At 38.5% G+C, this 27,208-nt stretch overlaps 2 protein-coding genes and 2 non-coding genes across 8 annotated transcripts, besides 25 other annotated features; 2 read left to right on the forward strand and 2 right to left on the reverse strand.

Moving 5' to 3' along the window:
- Window positions 208-297: an enhancer, noted in NCBI's record as "active region_20782". NCBI's record gives its function as "activates an Ori minimal core promoter by ATAC-STARR-seq in GM12878 lymphoblastoid cells {active_cell/tissue: GM12878}" and the evidence as "EXISTENCE:reporter gene assay evidence [ECO:0000049][PMID:35858748]".
- TERC (telomerase RNA component) lies at window positions 377-827 on the reverse strand. The gene has a single exon (NR_001566.3).
- Window positions 456-995: an enhancer, noted in NCBI's record as "H3K27ac hESC enhancer chr3:169482477-169483016 (GRCh37/hg19 assembly coordinates)". NCBI's record gives its function as "activates a minimal SCP1, AML or CMV promoter by ChIP-STARR-seq in primed H9 embryonic stem cells {active_cell/tissue: H9 hESC(primed)}" and the evidence as "EXISTENCE:reporter gene assay evidence [ECO:0000049][PMID:30033119]".
- Window positions 456-1,625: a biological region, named in NCBI's record as "telomerase RNA component (TERC) promoter". NCBI's record gives its function as "regulatory_interactions: TERC".
- Window positions 508-767: a silencer, noted in NCBI's record as "silent region_14874". NCBI's record gives its function as "represses an Ori minimal core promoter by ATAC-STARR-seq in GM12878 lymphoblastoid cells {active_cell/tissue: GM12878}" and the evidence as "EXISTENCE:reporter gene assay evidence [ECO:0000049][PMID:35858748]".
- Window positions 759-1,263: a promoter, noted in NCBI's record as "hsProm505". NCBI's record gives the evidence for it as "EXISTENCE:reporter gene assay evidence [ECO:0000049][PMID:9546436]".
- Window positions 759-1,625: a promoter, noted in NCBI's record as "hsProm867". NCBI's record gives the evidence for it as "EXISTENCE:reporter gene assay evidence [ECO:0000049][PMID:9546436]".
- Window positions 792-809: a protein binding site, noted in NCBI's record as "Sp1.4 (h113)". NCBI's record gives the evidence for it as "EXISTENCE:protein binding evidence [ECO:0000024][PMID:12586348]".
- Window positions 805-829: a protein binding site, noted in NCBI's record as "Sp1.3 (h112)". NCBI's record gives the evidence for it as "EXISTENCE:protein binding evidence [ECO:0000024][PMID:12586348]".
- Window positions 844-871: a protein binding site, noted in NCBI's record as "Sp1.1 (h9)". NCBI's record gives the evidence for it as "EXISTENCE:protein binding evidence [ECO:0000024][PMID:11228546]".
- Window positions 851-855: a TATA box. NCBI's record gives the evidence for it as "COORDINATES:motif similarity evidence [ECO:0000028][PMID:12586348]".
- Window positions 869-890: a protein binding site, noted in NCBI's record as "h10". NCBI's record gives the evidence for it as "EXISTENCE:protein binding evidence [ECO:0000024][PMID:11228546]".
- Window positions 881-885: a CAAT signal. NCBI's record gives the evidence for it as "COORDINATES:motif similarity evidence [ECO:0000028][PMID:11228546]".
- Window positions 918-937: a protein binding site, noted in NCBI's record as "Sp1.2 (h4)". NCBI's record gives the evidence for it as "EXISTENCE:protein binding evidence [ECO:0000024][PMID:11228546]".
- ACTRT3 (actin related protein T3) lies at window positions 2,688-5,328 on the reverse strand. The gene is made up of 2 exons (NM_032487.5): window positions 5,088-5,328; window positions 2,688-4,117 (listed from the first exon to the last, which is right to left on the reverse strand). The coding sequence occupies exons 1-2, from the start codon at window positions 5,285-5,287 to the stop codon at window positions 3,199-3,201; spliced, it is 1,119 nt and encodes a 372-aa protein (NP_115876.3). The 5' UTR covers window positions 5,288-5,328; the 3' UTR covers window positions 2,688-3,198.
- Window positions 4,051-4,195: an enhancer, noted in NCBI's record as "145 bp 3:169486144 sequence used in MPRA reporter constructs". NCBI's record gives its function as "activates a minimal TATA-containing promoter with rs9822885 allelic activity by MPRAs in C283T melanocytes {active_cell/tissue: C283T}" and the evidence as "EXISTENCE:reporter gene assay evidence [ECO:0000049][PMID:36423637]".
- Window position 4,123: a transcriptional cis regulatory region, noted in NCBI's record as "rs9822885 or 3:169486144 MPRA-significant variant associated with a GWAS melanoma risk locus at 3q26.2". NCBI's record gives its function as "allelic transcriptional activity by MPRAs in C283T melanocytes {active_cell/tissue: C283T}" and the evidence as "EXISTENCE:reporter gene assay evidence [ECO:0000049][PMID:36423637]".
- Window positions 5,057-5,316: an enhancer, noted in NCBI's record as "active region_20783". NCBI's record gives its function as "activates an Ori minimal core promoter by ATAC-STARR-seq in GM12878 lymphoblastoid cells {active_cell/tissue: GM12878}" and the evidence as "EXISTENCE:reporter gene assay evidence [ECO:0000049][PMID:35858748]".
- Window positions 5,397-5,466: a silencer, noted in NCBI's record as "silent region_14875". NCBI's record gives its function as "represses an Ori minimal core promoter by ATAC-STARR-seq in GM12878 lymphoblastoid cells {active_cell/tissue: GM12878}" and the evidence as "EXISTENCE:reporter gene assay evidence [ECO:0000049][PMID:35858748]".
- Window positions 5,397-5,552: a biological region, named in NCBI's record as "melanoma risk locus-associated MPRA allelic enhancer 3:169487501".
- Window positions 5,408-5,552: an enhancer, noted in NCBI's record as "145 bp 3:169487501 sequence used in MPRA reporter constructs". NCBI's record gives its function as "activates a minimal TATA-containing promoter with rs9811216 allelic activity by MPRAs in C283T melanocytes {active_cell/tissue: C283T}" and the evidence as "EXISTENCE:reporter gene assay evidence [ECO:0000049][PMID:36423637]".
- Window position 5,480: a transcriptional cis regulatory region, noted in NCBI's record as "rs9811216 or 3:169487501 MPRA-significant variant associated with a GWAS melanoma risk locus at 3q26.2". NCBI's record gives its function as "allelic transcriptional activity by MPRAs in C283T melanocytes {active_cell/tissue: C283T}" and the evidence as "EXISTENCE:reporter gene assay evidence [ECO:0000049][PMID:36423637]".
- Window positions 7,713-7,812: an enhancer, noted in NCBI's record as "active region_20784". NCBI's record gives its function as "activates an Ori minimal core promoter by ATAC-STARR-seq in GM12878 lymphoblastoid cells {active_cell/tissue: GM12878}" and the evidence as "EXISTENCE:reporter gene assay evidence [ECO:0000049][PMID:35858748]".
- On the forward strand, window positions 7,997-8,069 carry TRV-AAC1-1 (tRNA-Val (anticodon AAC) 1-1). The gene has a single exon. It is a non-coding gene; the product is annotated as a tRNA-Val (tRNA).
- Window positions 8,703-9,252: an enhancer, noted in NCBI's record as "active region_20785". NCBI's record gives its function as "activates an Ori minimal core promoter by ATAC-STARR-seq in GM12878 lymphoblastoid cells {active_cell/tissue: GM12878}" and the evidence as "EXISTENCE:reporter gene assay evidence [ECO:0000049][PMID:35858748]".
- Window positions 8,703-9,329: a biological region, named in NCBI's record as "H3K27ac hESC enhancer GRCh37_chr3:169490847-169491350".
- Window positions 8,826-9,329: an enhancer, noted in NCBI's record as "H3K27ac hESC enhancer chr3:169490847-169491350 (GRCh37/hg19 assembly coordinates)". NCBI's record gives its function as "activates a minimal SCP1, AML or CMV promoter by ChIP-STARR-seq in primed H9 embryonic stem cells {active_cell/tissue: H9 hESC(primed)}" and the evidence as "EXISTENCE:reporter gene assay evidence [ECO:0000049][PMID:30033119]".
- Window positions 8,968-9,262: an enhancer, noted in NCBI's record as "tiled region #7912; HepG2 Activating DNase unmatched - State 1:Tss, and K562 Activating DNase unmatched - State 1:Tss". NCBI's record gives its function as "activates a minimal TATA promoter and a strong SV40 promoter by Sharpr-MPRA in HepG2 and K562 cells {active_cell/tissue: HepG2 | K562}" and the evidence as "EXISTENCE:reporter gene assay evidence [ECO:0000049][PMID:27701403]".
- Window positions 9,163-25,483, forward strand: MYNN (myoneurin). 5 transcript variants are annotated; one of them, NM_001185118.2, is made up of 9 exons: window positions 9,163-9,229; window positions 9,798-9,864; window positions 10,032-10,328; window positions 14,535-15,328; window positions 16,357-16,516; window positions 18,232-18,410; window positions 19,244-19,327; window positions 20,389-20,475; window positions 22,183-25,483. In NM_001185118.2, exons 3-9 carry the CDS (start codon window positions 10,063-10,065, stop codon window positions 22,443-22,445), a joined length of 1,833 nt encoding a protein of 610 aa, NP_001172047.1. In that variant the 5' UTR covers window positions 9,163-9,229; window positions 9,798-9,864; window positions 10,032-10,062; the 3' UTR covers window positions 22,446-25,483. The 5 variants fall into 5 exon arrangements, 3 of the variants coding, with proteins under 3 accessions (NP_001172047.1, NP_061127.1, NP_001172048.1); NR_033703.2 differs by lacking the exon at window positions 9,798-9,864 and having other exon boundaries at window positions 14,651-15,328; NR_033702.2 differs by lacking the exon at window positions 9,798-9,864 and having other exon boundaries at window positions 10,032-10,198.
- The last annotated feature ends 1,725 nt before the right edge of the window (window positions 25,484-27,208 follow it).

Below are 27,208 nucleotides of genomic sequence, written 5' to 3' on the forward strand. Positions count from 1 at the left end.
ATATTCATTAAATGTTAAATGATCTCTCAAAAAAAAATGACTGTTCTCCCACACCCCGTTGAGGGGACTGGTCGAGATCTACCTTGGGAGAAGCAAAAACCTCAACAAAATCTGCAGAGCAGGAACTAAGTTGTAATACAACCATAAAAGGCAACAAAAAGCGGAAGACGGGAGAACCCACGCAGGAACGGCTCCAGGCAACCCCGGCTCACTGCCCATTCATTTTGGCCGACTTTGGAGGTGCCTTCACGTCTCCTGCCAATTTGCAGCACACTGGCCCAGTCAGTCAGGTTTGGGGGTTCACAAGCCCCCATTGCCGGCGAGGGGTGACGGATGCGCACGATCGGCGTTCCCCCCACCAACAGGAAAGCGAACTGCATGTGTGAGCCGAGTCCTGGGTGCACGTCCCACAGCTCAGGGAATCGCGCCGCGCGCGGGGACTCGCTCCGTTCCTCTTCCTGCGGCCTGAAAGGCCTGAACCTCGCCCTCGCCCCCGAGAGACCCGCGGCTGACAGAGCCCAACTCTTCGCGGTGGCAGTGGGTGCCTCCGGAGAAGCCCCGGGCCGACCGCGGCCTCCAGGCGGGGTTCGGGGGCTGGGCAGGCGACCCGCCGCAGGTCCCCGGGAGGGGCGAACGGGCCAGCAGCTGACATTTTTTGTTTGCTCTAGAATGAACGGTGGAAGGCGGCAGGCCGAGGCTTTTCCGCCCGCTGAAAGTCAGCGAGAAAAACAGCGCGCGGGGAGCAAAAGCACGGCGCCTACGCCCTTCTCAGTTAGGGTTAGACAAAAAATGGCCACCACCCCTCCCAGGCCCACCCTCCGCAACCCGGTGCGCTGCCGGGCGAGTCGGCTTATAAAGGGAGCGGCCGCCGACCGCACGGATTGGCCAAGCTGACTCTCGCGGCTCTCGTGAGAGTCACTCTCTCGGGCGGGCTGGTTGGGGGGAACGGGAAATTAAAGTTCCATTTCCGGCCATGAGGAAGGACGTTGCCCTTCCGCACGTCCGGGAAAGGCTTTGCGTCTTTACTTCCGACCTTCTTTAAAGGTGAAACTAACTTGAGGTATCAGAGGGCCTTTTTTCTATCCTCTGCAGACCAGACGCGGTTCACCTCGACTACCTTAAAAATGGAATTCACAGGAAGATTTTAGGGCCTAAGACACAGAACACTAATTCCTAGTTTTGATCATCACATTTTTTGGAGAACTTTGTGAAAATAGATTCCCAGGCAGCACTGACTACAGCAGAATCTTGTCTCGGCTCAGTGGGATGCGTCCGAGTTCCTACCCTGCCCCCTTCTCCTTAGAATGCCTTCTCCAGCCTCTCCTTGAGCAGAGGATGGCTTTAATCAAGTGTAACTACTACATTATTAATCTTAAGGACTGAATCTCCCTTTTATTAGGAAAGAAAGGCGTTTCAATCATTGACTTTGCTTTAAAGTAGTGCTGTGTCTTGATGAGGTAAAAAGAGGGGAGTAATCCACCATAAATTGTAACGATTTTTTTTTTTGAGACGGAGTCTTGCTCTTTCGCCCAGGCTGGATGGAGTCTAGTGGCGTGATCTCGGCTCACTGCAACCTCTGCCTCCCGGGTTCAAGCGATTCTCGTGTCTCAGCCTCCTGAGTAGCTGGGATTACAGGCGCCTGCCACCACGCCCAGCTAGTTTTTGTGTTTTTAGTAGAGACGGGGGTTTCACCATGTTGCCCAGGCTGGTCTCGAACGCCAGGGCTCAAGTGATCCACCCGCTTCGGCCTCCCAAAGTGCTGGGATTACAGGTATGAGCCACCGCACCCGGCCGCGAATTTTTATAATGGCCAGTATAGTGCAGTTTTACATATAAATGACAGGATGATCTTAAAAGTTTTACTCGTATTCAGTTAGATAAACTCCGTGGAGTTGTCGCTGTCGGTCCTCGATCTGAAAGAAAAGTAAAATATCTCCCTCTCCATCTCTCTCCCTCCTTCTCTCTCTCCCATCCCCTTTTTCTTTCATAGCATCTGCCAGGTTGTAAAGTTTTTTACGGACAGAATCTGACTCCTGTTTTTAGCACTATTGCACTTAGCACAGTACCTTACATAGAGTAGATGCTAAATGCTTTGAGTTATATGTCAACACTACCACCATTCTCTTAGCATCCCACATTATCTCAAACCCTTCTTTCCCCTTCATATCTAAGTAGGCACTAAATCTTGTCAGTTTTCATAATTTCTTTTTTTAAATTCCTATTGCTTATAATCTTGAGTACAAGACTTGGCACTTTATATGTGGACTAGTAACTTTCTAACTGATCACCAAATCTCCAGGGCCTTCCTCATTCAATTTATTCTCCAAACTATCACATTCATCATAACATAGTTTCCTTATGGCTCCTGCTTTTAAATCTTTAATTTCTCTCCTTTGCATATTGGATATTTAGCACTTTAAGCCTTTCAGTCCCTGGCCTTCACTTAACCTTGCTAGTCATAGCGCTTGTTCTGCTCTATATGAGCTCTTGACTTGAACAAAATCAGTCTAAACTTAGGCGTGGTGGTGCATACCTGTGGATTCAGTTACTTGGGAGGCTGAGGGCAGAGCCCAGGAGTTGGAGGCTGCAGTGAGCTATGATTGCACTACTGCACTCCAGCCTGGGACACAGGGCAAGACTCTGCCTCTAAAACTAAATAAATGAATAAATACATACATAAACAAAAATTTTAAAAACAAAATCAGTCTATTAAACATGCCCTGAATATGCTTTGTTCATTCTCATCTTTAGCAACTTGTTCATTTTAGTATGCTTGCCTGGATATCTGCGCTCCATCCCAATGCCACCCCTTCCATGATGGCATACCTCTGCTATGGAGTCTCGTTCCTCACCACAGCAACCTTCTTTCCCTAAACTTCAATAAGCTTAAATCTTATCACTCATTTGGCACATAGCATATTGTACCACAAATGCTCTCTTCCAAGGGAAATATAAGCTCACCAACGTCAAGTTATAGAAGAAACACTATGGGAAACATTATTTTAACTTGGTTCTACTCAATAGACATCTGTTCTTGAGCTTCACCATTATTATCCCCCAAACCCATTATAGAAATACAACAGAAATATTGGCATCCCAATAGGTGAAGTATTTTCTCTTCTCCCAGAAACATATAATATCCAAAGTTTTCTGTCACATATACTCAAAACATTTTCTTCCAACCATTTTATCTGTATTTCAGAAGCATCTTTGGTGTACTATGTTGGGTCCAACTTCTTTAAATTCTGCAGCAGTGATCCACATGTCCTGGAAGGCAGACAAGGATGCAAGAATAGAACCTCCCATCCACACTGATATTTTCCTTTCTGGAGGAGCTATAACTTGCACAGCGGTGTTGGCAGGAGCCACCTTTGCTATATCCTTAACTAACCGCTTGTCTAAACCAGGGAAAGAGGTTGATCCCCCGGCAAGGATAATATTGGAAAAGAAGGAATTCCTCAGGCCTGTATCACATTTCATTATGCTGCTGAAGCATATCTTATCAATGCCAGGGGCCTCAAGGTTCATATGACACGGAGAGAAGAGGGCCTCTGGACAAGAAAAGAGCTGGTCATGGAGCTGGATGACCTTCCCATCAGGTAGTTGGTAAACTTTCTCTAGACAATCGGGTTTCTTGGCCATTTCCTCTTCGTAGTTCATTGCCACATAACAAAAGCTCTCCTTGATGTCTTCAACAATCTTTCTGTCTGAAGCACTGAGCAACATGATACCATGGTTCTTCATTAGCACCATGAGGTAGTTGGTGAGGTCAAGGCCTGCCAGATCCAGTTGCTGCACACCATGAGGCAGACAGTAACCCTCAAAGATGGGCACACTCTGGGTAACCCCAGCACCTGAATTCAGCACAAGGCCAGTAGTGAAGCCAGCAGCAAAGAGAGCCAGCACAGCCTGGATGGACATATAGAAGGCAGGAACACCCAGATGCTCAAAAAACATTTCCGTGATCTGTTGCCGGTTGGCCAGTGGGTTCAGCGCTGGCTCAGTAATCAAGACTGGGCCATCACACGGCTTCAGCTTTAGGTTATAGTCATAGATATGCTTCCACATGATCTCCATGTCCTCCCATGAAGTAATGAGACCACGCTCCACTGGGTAACTGTAAGGAAAGCAATAAGATCAATGACAGCTTTTTATTTTTCTAGTTTCTATTGTCTTCGACCCTCAGTTAATTCCCCGCGTTTATTACCAATATCCCTTTATGGGCAATAACTGCCACAGCCTCTCACAGCAGGTAAGTGTCAGCCAAAAATAGCACAGCTACTTACCTCTGCAATTTTTTTTTTTTTTTTTGGAGACAGAGTCTCGCTCTGTCACCCAGGCTGGAGTGCAGTGGCGCGATCTCAGCTCACTGCAAGCTCCGCCTCCCGGGTTCACGCCATTCTCCTGCCTCAGTCTCCTGAGTAGCTGGGACTACAGGCGCGCGCCACCACGCCCGGCTAATTTTTTTGTATTTTTAGTAGAGACGGGGTTTCACCGTGTTAGCCACGATGGTCTCGAACTCCTGACCTCGTGATCCGCCCTGCTCGGCCTCCCAAAGTGCTAGGATTACAGGCGTGAGCCACCGCGCCCGGCCTACCTCTGCGATTTTTGTTGCTTTCCATTTTCTCTGTCCTTTGGAACCTTGTGACTTTTAAAAAATTGGGAAATGTCCACATTATAGTATAGTTTAAATGTCAATTGAAGAGAATAACCCAAGTGACAAAAGGGACCATGAGTTAATATTCTTAAATGAATTCGTTCGATAACTTTATACGTTTTAATACATTTGTATAGCCACAGAGAGCAAAATGTTCAGTTTTTAGATGTGTGGTACCCTTGGAGATTTGTGGCCCGTGCGTTTGTAGTAATTCCAGCTGGATGGGGCTTTCCAGCTCCCGGCTTTCTTATTCTTTCTGTCCCCATTGCGCACCTCCTTTGGGGTCCTTTCCTGCCCCCCGACAACACCCCCAGTCCCCCCACCCCCAGCCACCCCAGCCCCACCCCCCAACCTCCCCAGCCCCACCCTACCCCACCCCCACCCCACCCACCCTCCCCAGCCCCAGCAGCCTGCTGGGAGAAGGAGGTACCTGATGAACAGCGAGCTCCTCCAGTCCTGAGCTTGGTCGCCCACGCAGAGTTCTAGCCCGCCCTGGGCCGCGCGGCTCTGGCCCTTGGCGCGGCCGATAATGTTCGGGTAGATAAACTGGGGCTCCCGGCACCCAGCCACGCCCGCCTTGATCATTCCCGAGCCGTTGTCGATCACCACCGGTAGCTGGCAGTGGTTCATGCCGCCGCTGCTGCCGCCGCCTCCTGTCTCTGAGCCGCTCTAGCTACGGGCTCGGCCGGGGCCGAGTGCCTGGAACGCCGCGTCACAGAGGCCCCGGCACGGCCGGGTGAGGCCAGAGTCCTGGGGGCGCAGGCAGGGGGTCGGCAGGGCCCCAGGCGGAAGGACTCGCTGGACGCACCGTGCTCCTCATGTTACCGCCCGCTATTGCTTCTCGCAGGAATTGGGCCACCCCAACACCTGGAATCCCGGAATCCCAGTATCAGGAAAACCCGACTTTCGCATCAAAAGATTCAACTCTAACCCTTCACAAGTGCATTTCTCAAATACCCAGAAGAGCTATAACAGCAGTTTTATTTTCCAAAGCCACGGAATTCTGGTTAACTGGTGGCGGTTCCGGGGAGTTCTAGAATTCGCCCTTGAAACTGGGGAAAAATGAGACTTAAGAGGAGAAAGTTGTTGCAGGAAGGGAGGCAGTGTCTGCTTCTGAAATGTTAAACTTCTAAAATAAGGAGAAAAATGCTGGAATTTAAATGAGTTTTAAGTACGTTTATTATTGTTTCTGTACCTTGGGCAATGCTTTGTTGTGTTTCTTCCTGTGATTTCCAAGCAAAATGTACGCAATTAAAACAAAATAGTAGTTCCTAGCTTAAATATGTAAATAAATATAAATTTATATATATTTATATAAATATATATAAATTTAAATATAAAATATTAAAAAATATATAAATTTATATAATTTATATAAATATATGTTATATTATATAAATATATTTATATATTTATAAAATATATATTTATATATTTAAGCAAGGATATAAATCGAAATATATATATTTATATTTATTATATGTATAAATATAAATATATAAAAATTTATATTTATATTTATTATATGTATAAATATAAATATATAAAAATTTATATTTATATATCATAAATATAAATATATAAAAATTTATATTTATATATCATAAATATAAATATATAAAAATTTATATTTATATATCATAAATATAAATATATAAAAATTTATATTTATATATCATAAATATATAAAAATTTATATTTATATATCATAAATATATAAAAATTTATATTTATATATCATATATAAAAATTTATATTTATATATCATATATAAAAATTTATATTTAGATATCATATATAAAAATTTATATTTAGATATCATATATAAAAATTTATATTTAGATATCATATATAAAAATTTATATTTAGATATCATATATAAAAATTTATATTTAGATATCATATATAAAAATTTATATTTAGATATCATAAATAAAAATTTATATTTAGATATCATAAATAAAAATTTATATTTAGATATCATAAATAAAAATTTATATTTAGATATCATAAATAAAAATTTATATTTAGATATCATAAATAAAAATTTATATTTATATATCATAAATATATAAAAATTTATATTTATATATCATAAATATATAAAAATTTATATTTATATATCATAAATATATAAAAATTTATATTTATATATCATAAATATATAAAAATTTATATTTATATATCATAAATATATAAAAATTTATATTTATATATCATAAATATATAAAAATTTATATTTATATATCATAAATATATAAAAAATTATATTTATATATCATAAATATATAAAAAATTATATTTATATATCATAAATATATAAAAAATTATATTTATATATCATAAATATATAAAAAATTATATTTATATATCATAAATATATAAAAAATTATGTTTATATATAATAAATATATAAAAAATTATGTTTATATATAATAAATATAAAAATTTGTTTATATATAATAAATATAAAAATTTATGTTTATATATAATAAATATATAAAAATTTATGTTTATATATAATAAATATATAAAAATTTGTTTATATATAATAAATATATAAAAATTTATGTTTATATATAATAAATATATAAAAATTTATGTTTATATATAATAAATATATAAAAATTTATATTTATATATAATAAATATAAATATATATATTTCGATTTCTATCCTTCTGGTGTAATCTGCAAGCCTCATTCGCTACTCTTGATTTTTAGGCTGAAGGACGTGCCTGTCTTTTTGCAGGAAAAGTGAAGTTTATCAGGTCATATGAAATTCAAGTTTGGAAAAATTTGAAAGTACATTGCATGTCAATAAACGCATCTTGGTGTCTGATTCTGCATACATCTGTAGAGAATTTGAAAACAAGCAGTCAATTTAGAACTTCTGCTTGGTCTTCGGAAGCAAAAAGAGGAAATTCAAAAGTAATTTTACACGTCCTTCCACCAGAAGCTGAAAGGATGGCTTTTTCGCGGCTGAATAACGAAAGCCCCCTGCTTCGCCCCGGACTCTGAGCAGCTCAACCTGCGGAAAGGATGTGTAATAAAACGCCTTTCCAGGGAGACAAAAAAAAAAAAGGCCACCCAAAGGAAGGGCAACTCGGGAGTGCCTGGTTTCTACTGCGGTACCCGGGCACTTTGGAAGAAAGTGCGTGCAGATTCAAGCTTTTGAAATGGTTTCAGCTCTGTTCAATTGGGCATAGGCTATTTTTCCTTTTCTGTTTTTTTCTTTAAATACATTATATTCATTCCTCTCAATTTGATAATAATCACTTGAGAATTGCGAATTGACACTTACATATCAAGGACTTTACAAAACCCTCTCCAAAGTGGGGTTTCCGTAGTGTAGTGGTTATCACGTTCGCCTAACACGCGAAAGGTCCCCGGTTCGAAACCGGGCGGAAACACACTAAAAAATCCCTTTTTTTTTTTTTTTTTTTTTCCTTCGCTTGGAAGAAAGCGTGAGATCACGCTTTGTTTTCTTTTGTTGTTTGTTTTGTTTTTTTTTCTGAGGGAAGCCTTAGCTTAATGTATGCCGGTCCTTCAAAAGACATGATAGCAATTTGAGAGTCTGAACTGTAAGTTTTTGTTACTTTATTCGTTCACCAAATGTTTTTATGGAAGCCTTGCCACGTGGAACATGTGTCCCGGGTTTTAAAAAATGAATTTGACTCACCAGCTAACACTGAAAAAATAATGTACAGCCTAGAAGGAAAGATCAAAGTGTAAAAGTGGTTAGTCCTGTCGCCTCCTGAGCATTTTTGTATTATATCACTTGGTTTTTCGTCTGAAGTGGCTGTAAATAATCGTATTAAAAATCTTCTGGTCCAGACGCAGGAAAACCTTTTCCGGTATAAAGCCCACCTTCCTCTAATGTTGCGCATGCCCACTGTGCCCAGCTGCTCCGCTTTCGTGCATCCCAGACTTCTGTCACCAGGTAAGGGCATCTTGGAAGCTGAGCTACAGTTGGCTGGGGCACAAAAAAACCAGGGGGTGCCAAGAGTTTTCAGGTACGTAAGCGGGAAAGGGGTGCCAAGTCTCAGCTAAAAAATCCCCTATGGCAGAGATCCGAGTACACATGCAGCAGTTTCCACCGGTGGGGCCCCGAGGAAGGGGAGGATGATGGGAGAAGACAAGCAACTACAAGCCCCCGCACGCAGTGCGCAGCTGGCTTCAGGAGAGAGGCCCGCGGTGCTGTGCTGCCGGGCCTCGGCGCAGAGCCCCGGCAGAGCGCCAGACGCTGACTGCCGGCACCAGAATGCTCGCGATGAGGAAGACAGGCGGAGCGCTGCGAGCTAGCGAGCCCTCAGCTCTCGTATCCATGACGCCTGCTGCTTCGGGGGACCCCTGGCATGCTGGGGAGTGGGTCTCTGTGGTACATCCTGTACCGCCCTGGCCGGCGCCGGACCCCCATGGCCCCAGAACCTCCCGCACTGCCACGGGAAGACAGAGCCGGACGTGACGCCACCGTGGAAGGAAGGGAGGGGCGGAGCGTGGCTCGGTGACGTCCTCCCAAGATGGCGGAGACAGAGTGAAGAAACTGTGTTCCCCCCTTGGGTTGCTATCGGTGAGTTCCTACTTCACCCCCAGCCCGCCATCCCGGTCTCTCTAGAGCCTGGGCCATCAGAGGGCAGGCTCCTTGGAGTTCCAGCACGGGTCGGGGCGCAGGTGGAAGGCTTGGGCTAGGCAGCCCCGGGGTGGCCTGGGCCACAACCTCTGCTGTGGAAATTCGCGGGAGTGGGAGCTGGGCAGAGGGCAGGGCGGCAGAAGCCGAGGAGGGACTGGCTTTGGTTGTCACTCTCGGATGCCGCCTCGCGTAGAGAGTGGGAAGGGAGAAGGTGTGGCCTCCTTAGCGCGAGTGATAGAACCTTTGACAGCAAGCCATGGCCGGGCGCATTCCCGGCTTTCTGGGCAGCCACCTCTCGTTTTGGAGAAACTGCACTGGGGAAACTAACAGGTTTTGGTGACTTGAGAGCAGTTTTTAAAAACTCGTACTGTTCTGCCCCTATCTGTCCCAAGAGATCATGTCTTAGTGGTTTAAAAAATTTTTTTGTAACATAAGTATGTCTACTGAGCTTGAAAATCTGAGGGTTCAACAGATGTGAAAGCGTCAGGTTTTGCTGTGCTTTTTGCAGGTGGTAGAAGTGTTGCCATTCACCGTCACTTATTGATGTGTCCAAAGGATTGTGTTAGTTGATCAAGGTAACCAAAGATAGAAAGGCACTCATCCCTTCATTCTTAACCATGTATGTTTGATAAGGATTTTCAAGGGGGCTAAAATTGTTTAAGTTATGTCCTCTGTCCCTTCCCTCACTGAACGTTGATGAGAACTTACGGTTACTGATTTACTGTTTCTTTTTGTCTTTTAGATCAAGGGTAAAATTCCATTCTGATATCAAAATGCAGTATTCGCACCACTGTGAGCACCTTTTAGAGAGACTGAACAAACAGCGGGAAGCAGGTTTTCTCTGTGACTGTACCATAGTGATTGGGGAATTCCAGTTTAAAGCTCATAGGAATGTGCTGGCCTCCTTTAGTGAGTATTTTGGTGCGATCTACAGAAGCACTTCTGAGAACAATGTCTTTCTTGATCAGAGTCAGGTGAAGGCTGATGGATTTCAGAAACTGTTGGAGTTTATATACACAGGAACTTTAAATCTTGACAGGTAAAGTACACATTTTATTTTCAGTTATAAAAGCTAGTCAGTAGTCTTCACAGCAAAAGTAGATTTGTATTTTTTCCATTCATTCTCTGAACTCAAATTCTTCACCTATTTATGCACACAATGTTTGTTTTTATAAAGAAATCAGTATCACTGATTTAGGATGAGCAGGCAATATTTTTCATAAGCACAGATAATAAACAGTAAGATTTCTGACACGTTTATTTACTGAAACAAAGCCTGTGATTTCACTTATGTAAACTTGAACATTAAACACAATGAATTTATTTTATTTTATTTTTGAGACGGGCTCACCGTCACCCAGGCTGGAGTGCAGTGGGGCAATCTCGGCTCACTGCAACCTCTGCCTCCCGGGTTCAAGCGATTCTCCCACCTCAGCCTCCCTAGTAACTGGGACTACAGGTGTGCACTACCACACCTGGCTAATTTTTGTATTTTTTGGTAGAGACAGGGTTTCACCATGCTGGCCAGGCTGCAAACAAAAAATTCTAAGTTACTTCCAGTTTCCCATTGCTTTTTGGTCCTTGAATTCCTCTGGTCTTCTGTCTCCCTCATTCTGACTCCTGTTATCTCTATTAACCTACCAGTACTAATACTGAAGTAAGGTCAGAGATGCTAGAATGATTCTCTAAGATGCTTACTGATGTCACTGCATTAACAAGAAGTGGGTTCTGAGGAATCTGATAATGTAGGCACTGTGTGTCTCCCCTGTATAACGAACCATATAATTAGATTAATATCAATACATTTACAGATTGTAGGGGAAAAGGTGGAGGGAATAAAAGCAAAGAGAAACTGATTAAATTACCCCTGTCTTATTTCTGTCTCTCTTATGAAAGTGAACATGAATAGACTGTTCATAATCTTCTGACACAGGAAGATTATAGGCTTTGGAATTAGATCTTTCCTGTCAGTCGCTATGTCTCCTTGAGCATGATGCAATCTCTCTGGGCCTCAGTTTCCCCATCTGTCAAAATGAGATGGTAATAACTACCTTGAGGCTAAATAAGGTTTTACTTGATCCTTATTCACTTCCCACTGAACGTTAATTTCTTTATTTTTCTTCTTTACCCTCTCCTCCCCCTTTAATTCCACATTTCTCGGAGAAAAAATAGAAAAAACAAAAAAGAAACACCTGAAATACTGCTGCCCACTGATAACCCCTGTTAACCTTTTGATATATATTAATTAATTCTTTTCCAGATCTCTGTAGAGATGTGCATGTATACATTAAGCAAAATCTTTCCCTCCCTTTTATATTGTAACTTATCATGGAAATATACTTATTTAAAAATCTAGAATCAGGGTGCTCATTAATCCTTTTGACGAGGAAACATTCTTGTGTAAGAAGTATCCAGTGGGGGGAGGGGAGGGAGAGAAAAGTAAACTTTCATGCTATTTTGGAATTATTTTTAAATTTTGGTATAATGAAATCTTCAAGTGAGTTCTTTATAAGTTGATTAAAGGAAAAGAGCAGTGTGAATTTTGGCTGGCCTGCAATTTAATGGTTTCCCTTTCTCTCAATTAACTATGCAAAACAAAAAAATCTTCATTTGAATACACGGTAGAGCACTTTTCTTTGAGACTTCATGCAAAGAACCAATGTGAAGAACAGCCAGGTGTTTTGTTCAGTCTCTTTTGGTACATATCTTTCCTGGAGACTGGGGAGCTAATTCCTCGAGTTCAGCTAGAAATGTAAGAGAGGATTTATACCAAAATAGAAAGGCTTACAACTTAGTGATTAAGAAAACAGGTAGAATATATTAAGTTGGCTCAGGGGCCAGATTACCTTGGTCAAATCTTGGTTCTAACATTCTGTGCTCTTGGACAGGTTACTTTATTTCTTTGGACTTCTGATTTTTCACTTGTGTGTAAAATGAGGATTATAATAGATTTCATAGGCATGTCCTGAGGATAATCTTATAAAGCATTTAGGCATGTACCTGGCAATATGTAATTAAATGACCTTCAGTGACTGTTCAGAGGATGTTATCTAATACTTGTAAACAAAAGCAAATCTGTTATTGAAGTATTGATTGGTGCTCTTAACTGTGACTGAGATTATAGCCATCTATGAAATAGTTTGTATGAATTACCATTTCAATGTTGAACAAATTTTTTTTTTTTTTTTTTTTTTTTTTTGAGATGGAGTCTCACTCTGTCACCCAGGCTGGAGTGCAATGGCGTGATCTCGGCTCACTGCAACCTCCACCTCCCAGGTTCAAGGGATTCTCCTGCCTCAGCCTCCCGAGTAGCTGGAATTACAGGCACCCGCCATCATGCCCAGCTAATTTTTGTATTTTGTAGATACGGGGTTTTACCATGTTGGCCAGGCTGGTCTTGAACTCCTGACCTCAGGTGATGCGCCCACCTTGGCCTTACAGGCATAAGCAACTGCACCCGGCCTTGAACAATTAATGTATGACTTCCTGCTAACTTATATTGGTCTTAAAGGCTACCTGACCTTGTTATCTGTTTGGCGGTTTATTTTATGGAGCACTAAACACAATTAGAGACCAAAAGATCTTTTTTAGTGGCCCAGCCCAAAAGACAATTTTTAGAAAGCTGTTGTGATGCTAAATTAAATAAGGGGAAACATACAGGTGGCACTTGAGGCAAAGCAAGTTTAATTAGAAGATGATGAGAACATGGGTAGAGATTTGTAGATACTGTAGCATACTTTTAGAGATCTTAGAGGTTCATGACACTAGTTATTTTTTATTTTATTTCAAATTTTAGTCCTTTAAAATAGTATCACCAGCACTATATTTACATTGTCAGCTATGATTAAAACCCTTTTCTGGCTTATACTTACAACAGAGAGGGAAAGAGATCATCTTCCCAAAGATAAACCATATTTAGGGAAAAAAATCAAGTAGGAAGATTATTTGAGGGTAAGGGGTGTGTGTGTGTGTGTGTGTGTTTCCATCCTCAAATACTTATAACAGTCATGTTTTTAGTGTTAACACCAACTCAACTCTAATTTTACAGCTAAGAAAGTTGAACCCCCCAAAGATGCTGACTTACCCTAATTAAGTCAGCCAGTAATGCCAGAGCCAGTGCTAGATTAATCAAACAACCTTTCACCACATTGTGAACTTCTGAAGGGCAGAGACTATTTACTTATTAATATCTTAGTACCACACATGGTAGATGCTTAGTAAACATTTGACTAGAATATTGAACAAGGTGGCTTAAGTCTTTCTTTGTAACTCTCACATCACGAACACTCCAGCTAATTTGGGTTGAGTATCACCAAAAAAGGTGGGAGGGTTGCTAGAGAGAGTTTAACATTCTAAAACCTTGTTCCTCTAAGTGGATTCCTCTAAGCAACATTGGCATCACCAGGAAGTGTATTAAGAAATGCAGGCTGTGCTGGTGGCTCACGCTTGTAATCCTAGCACTTTGGGAGCCCAAGGTGGGAGGATCACTTGAGGCCAGGAGTTCGAGACCAGCCTGGGCAGCATAGCAAGACCCTGCCTCTACAAAAAAAATAGCCAGGCATGGTAGCACATGCTTGTAGTCCCACTTACTTGGGAAGCTGACGCAGGAGCCCAGGAGTTGAAGGCTGCGGTGAGTTATCATTATACCAGTGCACTCCTGCTTGGGCAACAGAAGAATACCCCATCTCAAAACAGAAAAAAAATGCAGAATCTCAGGCCCCATCACAGACCTACTGAATTTGAATCTACATTTAACAAGATTCCCGGGTGATTCACATGCACAGCAAAGTTTGGGAAACATAATTAAAGTCCCTCACAGGGGAGCAGGAGAAAATAGTAGGAAACAAGTGTCATTAGACTTTCCCTCTTGCCAATCCAGAAAAGTTGGTTGCTATCTGAAGAAGCCTCAGGATGAATGGAGGAGGTAGTGAGTTACCATCAGCTATTTTTGTGTTCTAGGGTTTTAAAAAAAAAGCCAGAAAATTTAACATTTAATTTTTCTGCAGTGGTTCACTGTCAGCTGTGAATAGCCATTATCTTTCATCTCTTGAAGTTCTGTAAAATTGGAGATTTTTTACCTAAACATTATTCTGAATGAATTTATAAATCTATTTTTCTCTTAGTTATGTCTTTTTCAGCATTCTGCTTCATTAGGTCTTTAAAATACATTGAAGTATATATGCAGCTCTGTTTCGAAAGTTTTTCTTTGATCAGAATATTGTCATGTAGCCTTGTTTCCTTGCAGTTGGAATGTTAAAGAAATTCATCAGGCTGCTGACTATCTCAAAGTGGAAGAGGTGGTCACTAAATGCAAAATAAAGATGGAAGATTTTGCTTTTATTGCTAATCCTTCTTCTACAGAGATATCTAGTATTACTGGAAACATTGAATTGAATCAACAGACTTGTCTTCTTACTCTGCGAGATTATAATAATCGAGAGAAATCAGAAGTATCTACAGATTTGATTCAGGCAAATCCTAAACAAGGCGCGTTAGCGAAAAAGTCATCTCAAACGAAAAAGAAGAAGAAGGCTTTCAACTCCCCGAAAACAGGGCAGAATAAAACAGTGCAATATCCCAGTGACATCTTAGAGAATGCATCTGTTGAATTATTCCTAGATGCAAATAAACTGCCCACACCTGTAGTAGAACAAGTTGCACAAATAAATGATAATTCAGAACTCGAGTTGACATCAGTTGTGGAAAATACTTTTCCAGCACAAGATATTGTGCACACTGTTACAGTGAAACGGAAACGTGGAAAATCACAGCCAAACTGTGCTCTGAAAGAACACTCTATGTCTAATATAGCCAGCGTCAAGAGTCCTTATGAGGCGGAGAACTCCGGGGAAGAGCTGGATCAGAGGTATTCCAAGGCCAAGCCAATGTGTAACACATGTGGGAAAGTGTTTTCAGAAGCCAGCAGTTTGAGAAGGCACATGAGAATACATAAAGGAGTCAAACCTTACGTCTGCCACTTATGTGGAAAGGCATTTACCCAATGTAACCAGCTGAAAACGCATGTAAGAACTCATACAGGTGAGACGGGTGTGTGGGGAGATATTATTTTTATACTGTGACTAATATAGTGTATTTTTATAGAGAGTACTTAGCACACACTACTTGTGACCAGAATTTGGTATATTTTTCTATTCATCAAAGTATTTAACAGTGTTAAACTGTTGAAAATTTATTTGTAATTGTAACCAAGTATTTAATGGCTGTTTAAGCCCTAATGCATCAACTCCTTATACCATTTTCCCTCCAAATAAGTATGTTGATTCTAGCTTACCAAGTATTTAACAGAGACAAAGACATTAAAACTGATAAAGAGAAAATGTAATTACAATTCAGGCCAATTTTCAGATATTGCCAACACTTCTCATTACATACTTCTAGACTCTGTTGACTTCTGAACATGTTCATTGGAATTACACATACAGTGTTCCCTAAGCTTCTACAGTTACCTTTATTTTGCATGTCCTCTGCCTGGTTGTAAAGTATGAGCACCTATTGGTACGTTTACATTCGTACTTTTTTCTTTTTTTTTTCTGAGACAGAGTCTCACTGTGTCGCCCAGGCTGGAGTACAGTGGTGCGATCTCGGCTCACTGCAAGCTCCGCCTCCCGGGTTCAAGCCATTCTGCTGCCTCAGCCTCCCGAGTAGCTGGGATTACAGGTGCCTGCCACCAAGTCCGGCTAATTTTTTTGTATTTTTAGTAGAGACTGGGTTTCACCATGTTAGCCAGGATGGTCTCGATCTCCTGAACTCGTGATCCGCCCGCCTCCGCCTTCCAAAGTGCTGGGATTATAGGCGTGAGCCACCGAGCCCAGCCCTAGATTCGTACTTTTTAAAATGCTGTATGTATTTATCTCGTGAATTCAGAAACACTAATTTCTTTTGATTCTACTGGTGTTTTCAGTGGTCTGGAAAAGATTATATTTGTTTTCAGTTCCAACAGTTAACATTTTCTTAATAACAAAGCTAGTACTGTTGATGAAATCTTATATGACTTATGCAACCAAAACACTATTTTCTTCTAAATATAAATTTTATTGTTCCTTTAGGTGAGAAGCCATACAAATGTGAATTGTGTGATAAAGGATTTGCTCAGAAATGTCAGCTAGTCTTCCATAGTCGCATGCATCATGGTGAAGAAAAACCCTATAAATGTGATGTATGCAACTTACAGTTTGCAACTTCTAGCAATCTCAAGATTCATGCAAGGTAAAAAACCAAATGAGTTGTTTGATCTTTTAGTCTTTTAATCACCATAGTCTTATGAATAGACTATTATATTAGAATTCAGGACAGTAGAATTGTAATTGTGGTTCCACCAAACAATGTTAACACGTTCAAGGAACCACAAGGAAGCCACAGTGGTTGATAGGAAATAAGCAGGGGGTGGGGACTACTAGGAAATAAGGTCAGACTCGTCCAGAAGTAAGATCAGAATGGTCCAGAATGCAGCTTAAGAGGATCATTCTGACTGGTATAGGATTATAAGAGTGGAATCAGGGTAAACAGGAATCTATAGATAAAACCCAAGCAAGGGTGATGGTGGTTCAGGCCAGGGTGGCAGCAGTGAAAGAAATAAGTAGTAGTAGATTCTGGATATATTTTAAAGTTAGAAATAATAGAATTTGCAAACAGATTGTATGTGAAGTCTGGAAGAGAGTCAAAGATGATTCTGAGGTTTTGGGCCTGAACCCCTATAAAGATGGAGCTGCCATTAACTGAGATAGAGAAGGTTTGTGGGTAGAACAGTTTAAGTGGAAGTGCAGGAATTTACGAGTACAGTTCTGTGTGTGTTAAATTTGAGATGACTTAACACTTCTGAATAGAGGTGTGCAATAGATAATTGGTTATCTAAGTCTGCAGTTCAGGGGACTGGTTTGAGCTGAAGATAACAGTTTGGCAATCATTAGCGTTTGGCAGTCATCAGCATATGACAGTATTTAAAGCTGTAACCCTGGCTAAGGTCACCAAGAGAGTGAATGTGGACAGAAGAAATCAAAAGACGGCCCTGAGGCACTCTAACTTTATGAGTTCTGAGAGATGGGTGAGAACCAGCAGAGGTAACTAGGAAGGAGCAGCCAGTAGAGGAGGAAAACCAGGAAAGAGGGCTGCCCTGGAATCCCAAGTGAAGGAAGTTATTCCAGATGGGAGTGGTCAATTGTAAAATTCTGTGATAGGGAGATGAAGACTGAGAACTGACGTGGATTTAGTAAAGTGGGAAGTCAGCAGTGCTCTTGACAAAAGTATCATTAGTAGAGGCCAGTAGAGAAGAAATGGAAGTAGATAGAACACTTGGAGTCTCAAGGTTTTGGTAAAGGGGAGCAGAGAATGGAGGAGCAAGTAAGGTCAAGGGTCTTTGTTTTGTTTTTGGTTTTTTTTTAATATGGGAGACATCAGTATATTTGTATACCATAATCCAATGGAGTGAGAAACATGGATGATGTAGGACTGGGGAAACTGCAGAAGTGATATCATTAAGTAGGATCTCAAGTATACAAATTGGAATTGATGGATTCAGATGAACTGTCACCCTCATGTCATATGAATTTTTCTCAGTGAAATAGGAAGCAGGGATGTCACCTGAGAGTTACAATGGGCAAGGAGATGCTGATGGTTTGAGGAGAGAGTTCACAAGTCAAAGAGTGACTAGACTCATGAAAATAATTGCCTGCAGTATTAGGGGCCCACTGACAACCATATAAAGATCATGGAAAAACTTTTTGAACTGATCTCAGAACTAATGTTTTGATAATAAGAAATATTTGTTTTTGGCAGTGTTTACACTGAAACAACTACTGATTTTAAATACATAGTCTTGGCCTGTTAAGATGACATGAAATAAAATCTATAAAAAACTTTATGAATTCTTGCTATATAGACTGACCTCCAAATTGTTTTACTTATTTAACTTTATTTACTAACAGGAAGCATAGTGGAGAGAAGCCATATGTCTGTGATAGGTGTGGACAGAGATTTGCTCAAGCCAGCACACTGACCTATCATGTCCGTAGGCATACTGGAGAAAAGCCTTATGTATGTGATACCTGTGGGAAGGCATTTGCTGTCTCTAGTTCTCTTATCACTCATTCTCGAAAACATACAGGTAAGTTTGACAGGGAGAGACTGCTTAAAATAAAGTTATAAATAAAAGAAAAAGGGGACTTGGGCCTTTTAGCGAAGTAGATCGGAAACTTTGTAGTTAGATATCTGTTTATATTTCTATAAGCTATGTTTATGATTTTTGCACATATTTGTTAAATATAAAAGCTGACTTATTTTCTAGAATAATACAAGGTGGGTGAAATAAATTATATAACTTACACATTAAAATCAGTGAGATAATTTTGATATTATATAAACTTGCATTGAGATGCATTTTGTGACTTTATAAAAACCTTTTCAGCTTCCTAAAGGGTCATCTCCTATAGTTAGGGTTGGGGAGTGGGTTTGGGTTGAACATGGATTTTTAAACTTCTTAGGACCTTTCCTACACAGATATTCTGGGATTTTCAAATAAGGTAATTCAGATGCAAAATAGCAGTTTGGAAACAAATTGCTTTTTTAGGGTACATTTTTTAAAAGACTTCCCTACATACTTTTATTCTCCTTTATTAATATAGTAGATAGCAAGAATAGAAATGTGGGTTTATGAATTGACATGTTCTTAATCATATAAAAATCAAATTCCTTGCCCAAATCATCTCTATTAGAAGGGACATTTTGAGGAATAAAGTTTTAATATATGAAAACTTATGAACAGTATACAATAATTACTAATATTCATTTACTTGGATCACTGAAAATACCTCTAAAGTACAATATAGAGAGATTTTAATTTAAATAATATTCCAGAAAAGCTTACTTTAGATTATTTGTAATTGATAAATATTATATTGGTATAGTACACCACTTCGCTATCTTTTATTTTCCATCTAGGTGAAAAACCATACATATGTGGTATTTGTGGGAAAAGTTTTATTTCCTCAGGAGAGCTCAACAAACACTTTCGGTCCCATACAGGTCTGTGTTTAGGGAGAACGTATTATTTTTTGTTCTCTCTTAATTTCTTTTTATGTAAACCTTGACTTTTAAGCCATTATGGACTATATGGTATTTAGTCATACTGTACCTATAGCAATATCTTAATGTATAAATATCAACTTATTTGCTTATTTTGTTTTTTTTTTAGTTGTTTGGAGTATGAATTAAATTTGTTAAAGAATTGTGTTGGTTTTCCAAGAAATATGCCAGATAATCAATAGTTTTTAAATGATTTGGATTAAATTGCACAGATATACCAAGAAATGAAAAGGAATAGGTAATACCAAGATAACATCAGATTTTCTTACTAAACAGTGTTTAGTATGCAATTTTTAGGAACAAATTTTAATTTTGACATGCTTATTGTAAAAAGTAGTTTGTAAATTGTATAAAGAAAATATTGAATGTAAAAAATTTTAAAACAAAGGAAAATGCCACTTTGAAAGAGTACTGTTCTGACATTCTCTTTTTAAAAATTCCTTCTCATAATTCCTACCTAGAATAATGTGAGTACTTAATAGAGATTTAGTAAGTTTTTGGTGACTTTATATTCTGACGCGCTTTAGTTTACACCATAAAGCACTGAACAGTTATTTCCAAAGAAGTGTAATATTGTAGCATGCTGTCAGTATTTTTAAGGATTTTCTAATTTGCCAGGTACCTGAGAGCAGAAACCATGATTATTACACTTATTTTCTCCCAGCTGTATCTCTTAGCCAGTGTCTGGCATATAACTGACACTCACTAAATGTTTCATAGAAATACAAGAGTAGGCTTTTGTTTGTTTTAGTTTGCAGATACATTTCTGTTTATGAAAATGCTCAAGTTTTCTTGAGATACAGATTTTTTGTATAAAGGAGTGTCTAGGTTGTATAGAATCTTTCATTTCACTATATTATAACCAGGTGATTAAAGTGACAATTTGAAACCAAATTTAAACACTATAATAATTTTTGCCTTGTGTTCATAAACATTGATATTTTTGTCTTAGCTAGCAGCTTTTAAAATATTGAAATTTAAACTTCTAATTTGTTTTTCAGGAGAAAGACCATTTATCTGCGAATTATGTGGAAATTCTTACACAGATATTAAAAATTTAAAGAAGCACAAAACAAAAGTCCATTCTGGTAAATGCTTGTGTTTTGTTTGCTTGTTTGTTTGTTTTAATTTGGTGCTCATATTAGTGCTATTCCTTAAAATGCTGAGATGAGATTTACATTTAAGCAGTTTAAATTAGATGTCTATTTCAAAAACTAGGTATATACATGTGAGGAAAGTAGCTTTTTTGCAGAAACATTCACTCTGGATTTTTCATATTGAATCTCTTATTTAAAAAAAAAAAAAAAAAACTTGAAACATTTCCTCCTTTGAAAACCTGACTTAATAACAGTCCCAAGCATGAAGGAACATATAAGCAAGCTATGTGTCACTGTTTCCCATACTGGAGTCTGGATAACTCAGGGTTTACTATGGTTATTATGAAAAAAAAGGGGGGGGGGGTGGTGTTATCATGAACACTAGTCCAGAAATGTTTAAGAGGAAATAGGGAAACAGGTAGCCCTACATTGTTATAATATATAAAAATGGAAAGCCAAACAACAAGTTTTGAGTCTATTGGTTAAAGTGAATTCTTGAAAAAGTTTCCCTGTGCTTACCATTTTATTCCGTCATTATTCGACATGACACTAGGCCCTTCTGGTGTGTAAATACTTAAACATCGTAAGTATTAAGTTAGAAACATCTAAAAACTGCAGTAAGTCATTAATTTAACCACTTGTTAAATTTCTGTAAAGTGTACTTTCAGGGAATATGAAGTTAAACAAGGCATAGTTCTGGTACTCAAAGCACTTACAACCTGGTGTGCGAGACCAGAAACCTAAATAAATAATTAAATAAACTAAATAAATAGGGAAAATGTAGGGCATAATCGACACAAAAGTGCTAAAGAAGATACTATGTTTTTCTGAGGTAAGTACTAAAAAAAACTTAATTTTAACTTGAAGGATGGAGAAGAGTTCAAAGATGGAGATGGGAAGAGAGGATTCATTCCGGGCAGAGAACACTGTAGAGAGTCAGTGGGACAAGAAGGAAACCTTAGCTAGTTGAAGTGAAGAGTAGTTTGGGAAGAATACAGATAATTACAATTTTACGAAAGCAGTTTTGTCTGCGTGACAAGGACGGTGAAACCAAAATCATGTCAACACTTTAGAGTAACGGAAGCATGTTAAAGCCATTGGAAAATTTGAAGGCAAAAGTACATCTTTAGTCAGTGTGCTGATTGCTCCCTTGAGTAGAGCAGAATTTCTCACCTCTGAAAATATATGAAAGTGCCATACATACTGTTCTGAACTCACAGAATAATATGAACAACTTATTAAAAACATTCAGTGAATGAAAAGAGTATTTCTTATCACTGTTTAATATTTTGAGGGAGTTAAAGAAGTATAACGACATTTACTCTCAAAGAATTTACAGTCTGGTTGAGGATTCAAGGCATACCTGAGTAGAATGTTAAATGGCAATAAGAGAGATAGATGCCACAAGGCAGTATATGAAAATTGACAAATGTGTGATTAAGCCGATATAACAGCTCACCCTGTTTCATTCTTAATCAAGTCCATTTTTTTAAATGGAGTTGGTGCTTGAACTTAACCTTGAGGCCCAGATTGAATTTACATAGATAGTGAGGAGGGCATATGTACAAAAGAGAAACCGCTTGAGTAAAGGTATGGTGGTTGGAATGTAATTTCTGGGAATGGTAAGTACATTAGTCTACCTCAGGGGTTTAGTTTTGTTTTAAAGATAATGTAGATTTTTTTTTCCTTCCATTCTAGGTGCAGATAAAACTCTAGACTCCAGTGCAGAGGATCATACTTTGAGTGAACAGGATTCCATACAAAAAAGTCCTTTATCAGAAACTATGGATGTGAAGCCTTCTGATATGACTTTACCATTAGCTCTTCCACTTGGGACTGAGGACCATCACATGCTTCTGCCTGTCACGGATACTCAGTCTCCTACATCAGATACATTGTTGAGGTCAACTGTGAATGGGTATTCAGAACCACAGTTGATTTTTTTACAACAATTATACTGACTTTGTAAGGAATATGGAATTGCTAAGATATCATTGGTAGCAAACATCTCTGGTAAGGTGCATATATTCATATTAAATTCCCATTCATTTGAGTTGTGACCATTATTTTTCATTCACTGAAGTAAAAGCACCTGATGCTGCATCACAACTGCAATGTTTGTTTTTATTTTTGGCTTTATGTCTATACTCCACAGAGAGCTTTTTAAGTAATGAATTATGTAGCACTATTTTGGGTGGATGAGTTTTATTTTCTTTTAAAGCTGCCTTAATTCCATTTTTATTTTGCATTTTAGAATTGCCCTTCATTTACTAAATCAGCCAGTTAATGTGATTCAGTTGTGACCTGTGGGATTTTAAAATTTTCCTGCCCTCATAATTTAAGCAAAATCCACGATAGTATCAGCCCAAGAGTGTGTTGCTATTTGTAAGCCCCATGGATCAATACATAAACTATGCATAAAAATAAAATTTCATATTTTCGCTCGTAAAAATTTAGGCGCTGAATAAGAATTGTGCTATTTCTCTATTAATATATTGTTAGAAATAACTTTTCTAATGAAACAAAAATGTTTCTCAAAATCTAGAAAAGTGCATATAAATTTTTGTTCATTTAGAACTGAGTATTCTGGAGAAAACCAATGGTCAGCACTTTTGGTTTGAGTTATCTGAGATTGTATTTTCAAAATGAATTTTAAGTAGATATTTGGTGTTTTTATCTTGTCAAAGACAGTTTCAAAATTTGATTCAGTTTATGTTTTATTCCGTTCTAAAATATTGGAGATGAGGAAAATGTACTTGAGTTTTGAAATATTTTGGTAAGCCTCTCTTACTCCTGTTATGCACTTTTTAAAATAAATACTGAATTCCAGAAAGAATTTTCTAGATATAAACTTAATGCATACTAGAAATCACTTGGCTTCTAAATTTGGTACATTATATTGCATAAAGAGTTAAGAAATTAACCTCAATTATAAGTAAACATTTTGAGTTACCAGAAAGCCAACTATAGTTAAATATTTTATATCTGAGTTTTCTATAAGTTTGGGGTTTGTTAATTTTATAAATTAAACCACAACTTTTGGTGGTGGTTGTAGTTTCACAATGGTCCTTTTCCTTCCAAATGAATGTAGAAAATTCGTTATTATCCTGATATTTGCACCACTCATCCCCATGCCACTTTTCCCACATATTAATTTATTTCACTGCCTGATCTTTGGATATGAAATTATGAGTTCCACAAAGTCAATTTTTATAGTGCCAATCAAACAGCATGGTGATATTCTTTTTCTTTTTTTTTCCCCCCACAAGGCTGTTGTTCAGTGTGAGATGACATCATTTCTTATTTCTGCCATGCTGTGGCTTTTTTGTGTTCTGCTTTTAAACTACACCTGTAGTACAGTTAATATGTTTTTTATTGGTATTGATTTCTTTAATTCATTAATTTTCTCTATTTGGGACCCAAGTCATAAGAACCAATTAGAGGACATAATAAAAACACTTAATGCTTGTAGTCTGTAGAGATCTTCACCATTTCACAGCACACACATTATTTTCATAATAAATTGCCACTGGTGGGACATGGGACTGACTTATTTGAATAGAGTTTGAAATACCACCTTTGTATGATGCAAACAATATTTGATTATTTTATCTAAGAAATCTATGCATGTGTATCAAGTTAAAATAGTGGGTTTAAATACAATTTACAAAGCATTAGAATGTTACCTAATCTCTTCTGGGTTAAATGTGATAGGAATGTATTGGAATGTGAAGAAATTATAGAAAATTAAAAGACTCAGCCTCTTTAGGAAGTTTGCTAAAATGGAGAGGTTATGTTTAATTTATTTATATCTTCGTTAATCCAAGCATCTAATGAACAAAAAACTGCTACAGTGACGTCATAATTCTATAAGGGCAATAGTTGCCAAATTTCCTCTGGTATTATTAGCATTCTGCCTTTGCATAGATTAGCCTTCAAATTTATTATTTTTAGTATTATTTGATACGATTGAAGTGGCTAAGATTGATTGAGCTTTTCTTGATCACATTTTCTGCTTCTTAGCTAAAGTAATTTTATTTAAATTGACATGGCTTGAGTTGTCATCATTTTCTGCTCTTCTAGAATGATGTGTAGAGAAAACTTGAAGATACTATCCCTTCTTTGGCATTCTTCTCTTAATGCTATGCTATTATTTATCATAATATGCATATATTTAGTTGTATCTGGTATCATTCTAACACTCATAACTACCATTTTAGTTAAGTCCAACTTTATATTTGTTACAATGCAGTGTTTTGGGAAAGGTCTATTAGTAATTATTTAAGTATTACATATTTTTATGGAAGTCTTTAGAAGGTGAAGATCTTACTGAGAAACTATTTTCTAAATAAATTTAATTTTCTTTTGTATTTGTATCAGATCATGCCTACTGTATGTTAGATTTTAGACTATTTTAAAAGAAACCGTAGATTATATAAAAATTTTTTTGCTGTTTTTAAATGGCATTTGTCTTATGTTTAATTTCACAGGATGATTTTGATAGACAAATTTTAGAAAACCTTTTTTCAAAGGTAATGGTTCTATCAGTTTCATTCCAACAGTAGCTAATTTCTGTGTTTCAGTCCTACAGAAATTGTGTGAGTAGTTGAAATAATGTACATGTACTAGTTTTTTTAAGTATTCTAAATAGTTCTAACATTTAATGCATATCAGAAACATGCTTAAGAAATAACAATATCCAGGCCCACCCCACCTATTGAATCAGACAGTTCCCAGGGCATATATATGCTGGGGAAGCCCCATAGGTGATTTTAATGTATACCAAACATGTAGAGTCTCACTCTGTTGCCCAGGCTGGAGTGCAATGACGTGATCTCAGCTAACTGCAACCTCTGCCTCCTGGATTCAAGCAATTCTCCGGCCTCAGCCTCCTGAGTAGCTGGTACTACAGGTGCGCGCCACCACACCTGACTAATTTTTGTTAGAGATGGGGTTTCATTCTGTTGGCCAGGCTGGTCTCGAACTCCTGACCTCAGGTGATCTGCCCACCTCAGCCTCCCAAAGTGCTGGGATTATAGGCATGAGCCACTGCGCCCAACCATGAACTACTATCTTAAACATTTCCTGATGTTCTACCTTTGGGAAGCAGTTTAAAATGATGCTCTTGAATATAATTTTCAATATTTTACCTGGAAATTTTGAGTACCTAGAACTTTTTTTTTCTTATTATTATTATACTTTAAGTTCTAGGGTACATGTGCACAGCATGCAGGTTTGTTACATATGTATACATGTGCCATGTTGCTGTGCTGCACCCATTAACTCGTCATTTACATTAGGTATTCCTCCTAATGCTATCCTTCCCCTCTCCCCCCAACTACCTAGAACTTGACTAGAAATACCATCAAGTAAAATTCTTTAAATTCTACATTTTTACTCGTTATTTATGGGCAATATTGATATGTACTTATTACAGCATTAATTTTTTGAGATAATAATTATAGTCTACTCTTCTGTCCTCTGCAACTCCTGCCTCCATTCATTCAAAAGAGGTTTGCTGTACAGAGACTCCTTGACTTATGGGTTTATCATAAGTCAAAGAGTATACTGAATATGTATTAGTTTCACACATTGTAAAGTCAAGAAATCATAAGTCAGGGACCATCTGTATTTGTTTAAGAAATTAGATAATTACCATGTAAACACAGTATTTAATTTCATGAAGAATTTACTAAAATAAACACCATGGATGTGAACATCCACATATTTGGATAACAGTATCTGGCCAGTGTTTCAAATGCTGGGAAAAAAATTCAAATCAGAATGCATAAAGCTGCAAAGATGATAAACTACCCTTAAGTTTACAGTCAAATGGAGATGCCAAGCATAAATATAACTTGCAATAAGACAAGCCAAGATGTTGAGTGTTATAGTAGGGGAAGGCAAGAAAGGAACTGCTGAGCAGTCAACAGGAGTAGAATGGACAGAGAAACAGCCATTGCTTACCTGGATAGGCAAACGAGGAGATGGCTGATGGAAGAATTTGCACATAGCTGATGAAGAGGGAACTAGGCAGAATGGAGAGAAAGCATTAAGTGGAGAGGAGATAGAGGTCAGAGGCATCTCCAGTACTACACCTATACCATCTTGAAATAGTCCTCTACCCATATCCTGTGCTGAAGGAGTGAGATTAGATAGCCAGGTTTGTAACCTATGTCCTCACGTGCCAACCACAGTTGCGTGCTAGAGGGTGGGGATTAGACAGCCACATAGGTAACACATGATTCCATACTGGTGACCACAGCAACAAGACACTTCACCAGGGAAAAACAATTCATAGGCTAGACTGAGCTGGTAAGATTCTTTCTCACAAATTTGAGCTATGAAATTCTGAGACAATCAGATAATGATATACGTATAAATGAAAAGATCATTTTAGAACTGGCCTTGAAGTCAGTGAAGCAAGCTAAAGTCTAAAGGAAATGATGAGTAAGCAGAGAAAGCTGATCTATAGAGCAAAGTTAGGGAATGAAACAGGTTTGCAGAGCCAAGAGACTGCCCTAGAGAGATCAGAAAAGTGGCCTTAGTTTCTGGCTCTGCAGTCCTACTGAGGTGATGCAGCCATGATTCATTTTCTGCCCCTGGATGCCATTGATTGTGGCTGTTGTATCCTTATGTTAAATCCCCCTTTTCTTAAACAGGCTGAGTCACTTTCTTTTCCTTGTAATCAGGCAGCCCCAAATTGGACACCTAAGCTTTGATC

The sequence above is a fragment of the Homo sapiens genome, chromosome 3 (assembly GCF_000001405.40).
Source record: "Homo sapiens chromosome 3, GRCh38.p14 Primary Assembly".
NCBI lineage: Eukaryota > Metazoa > Chordata > Mammalia > Primates > Hominidae > Homo > Homo sapiens.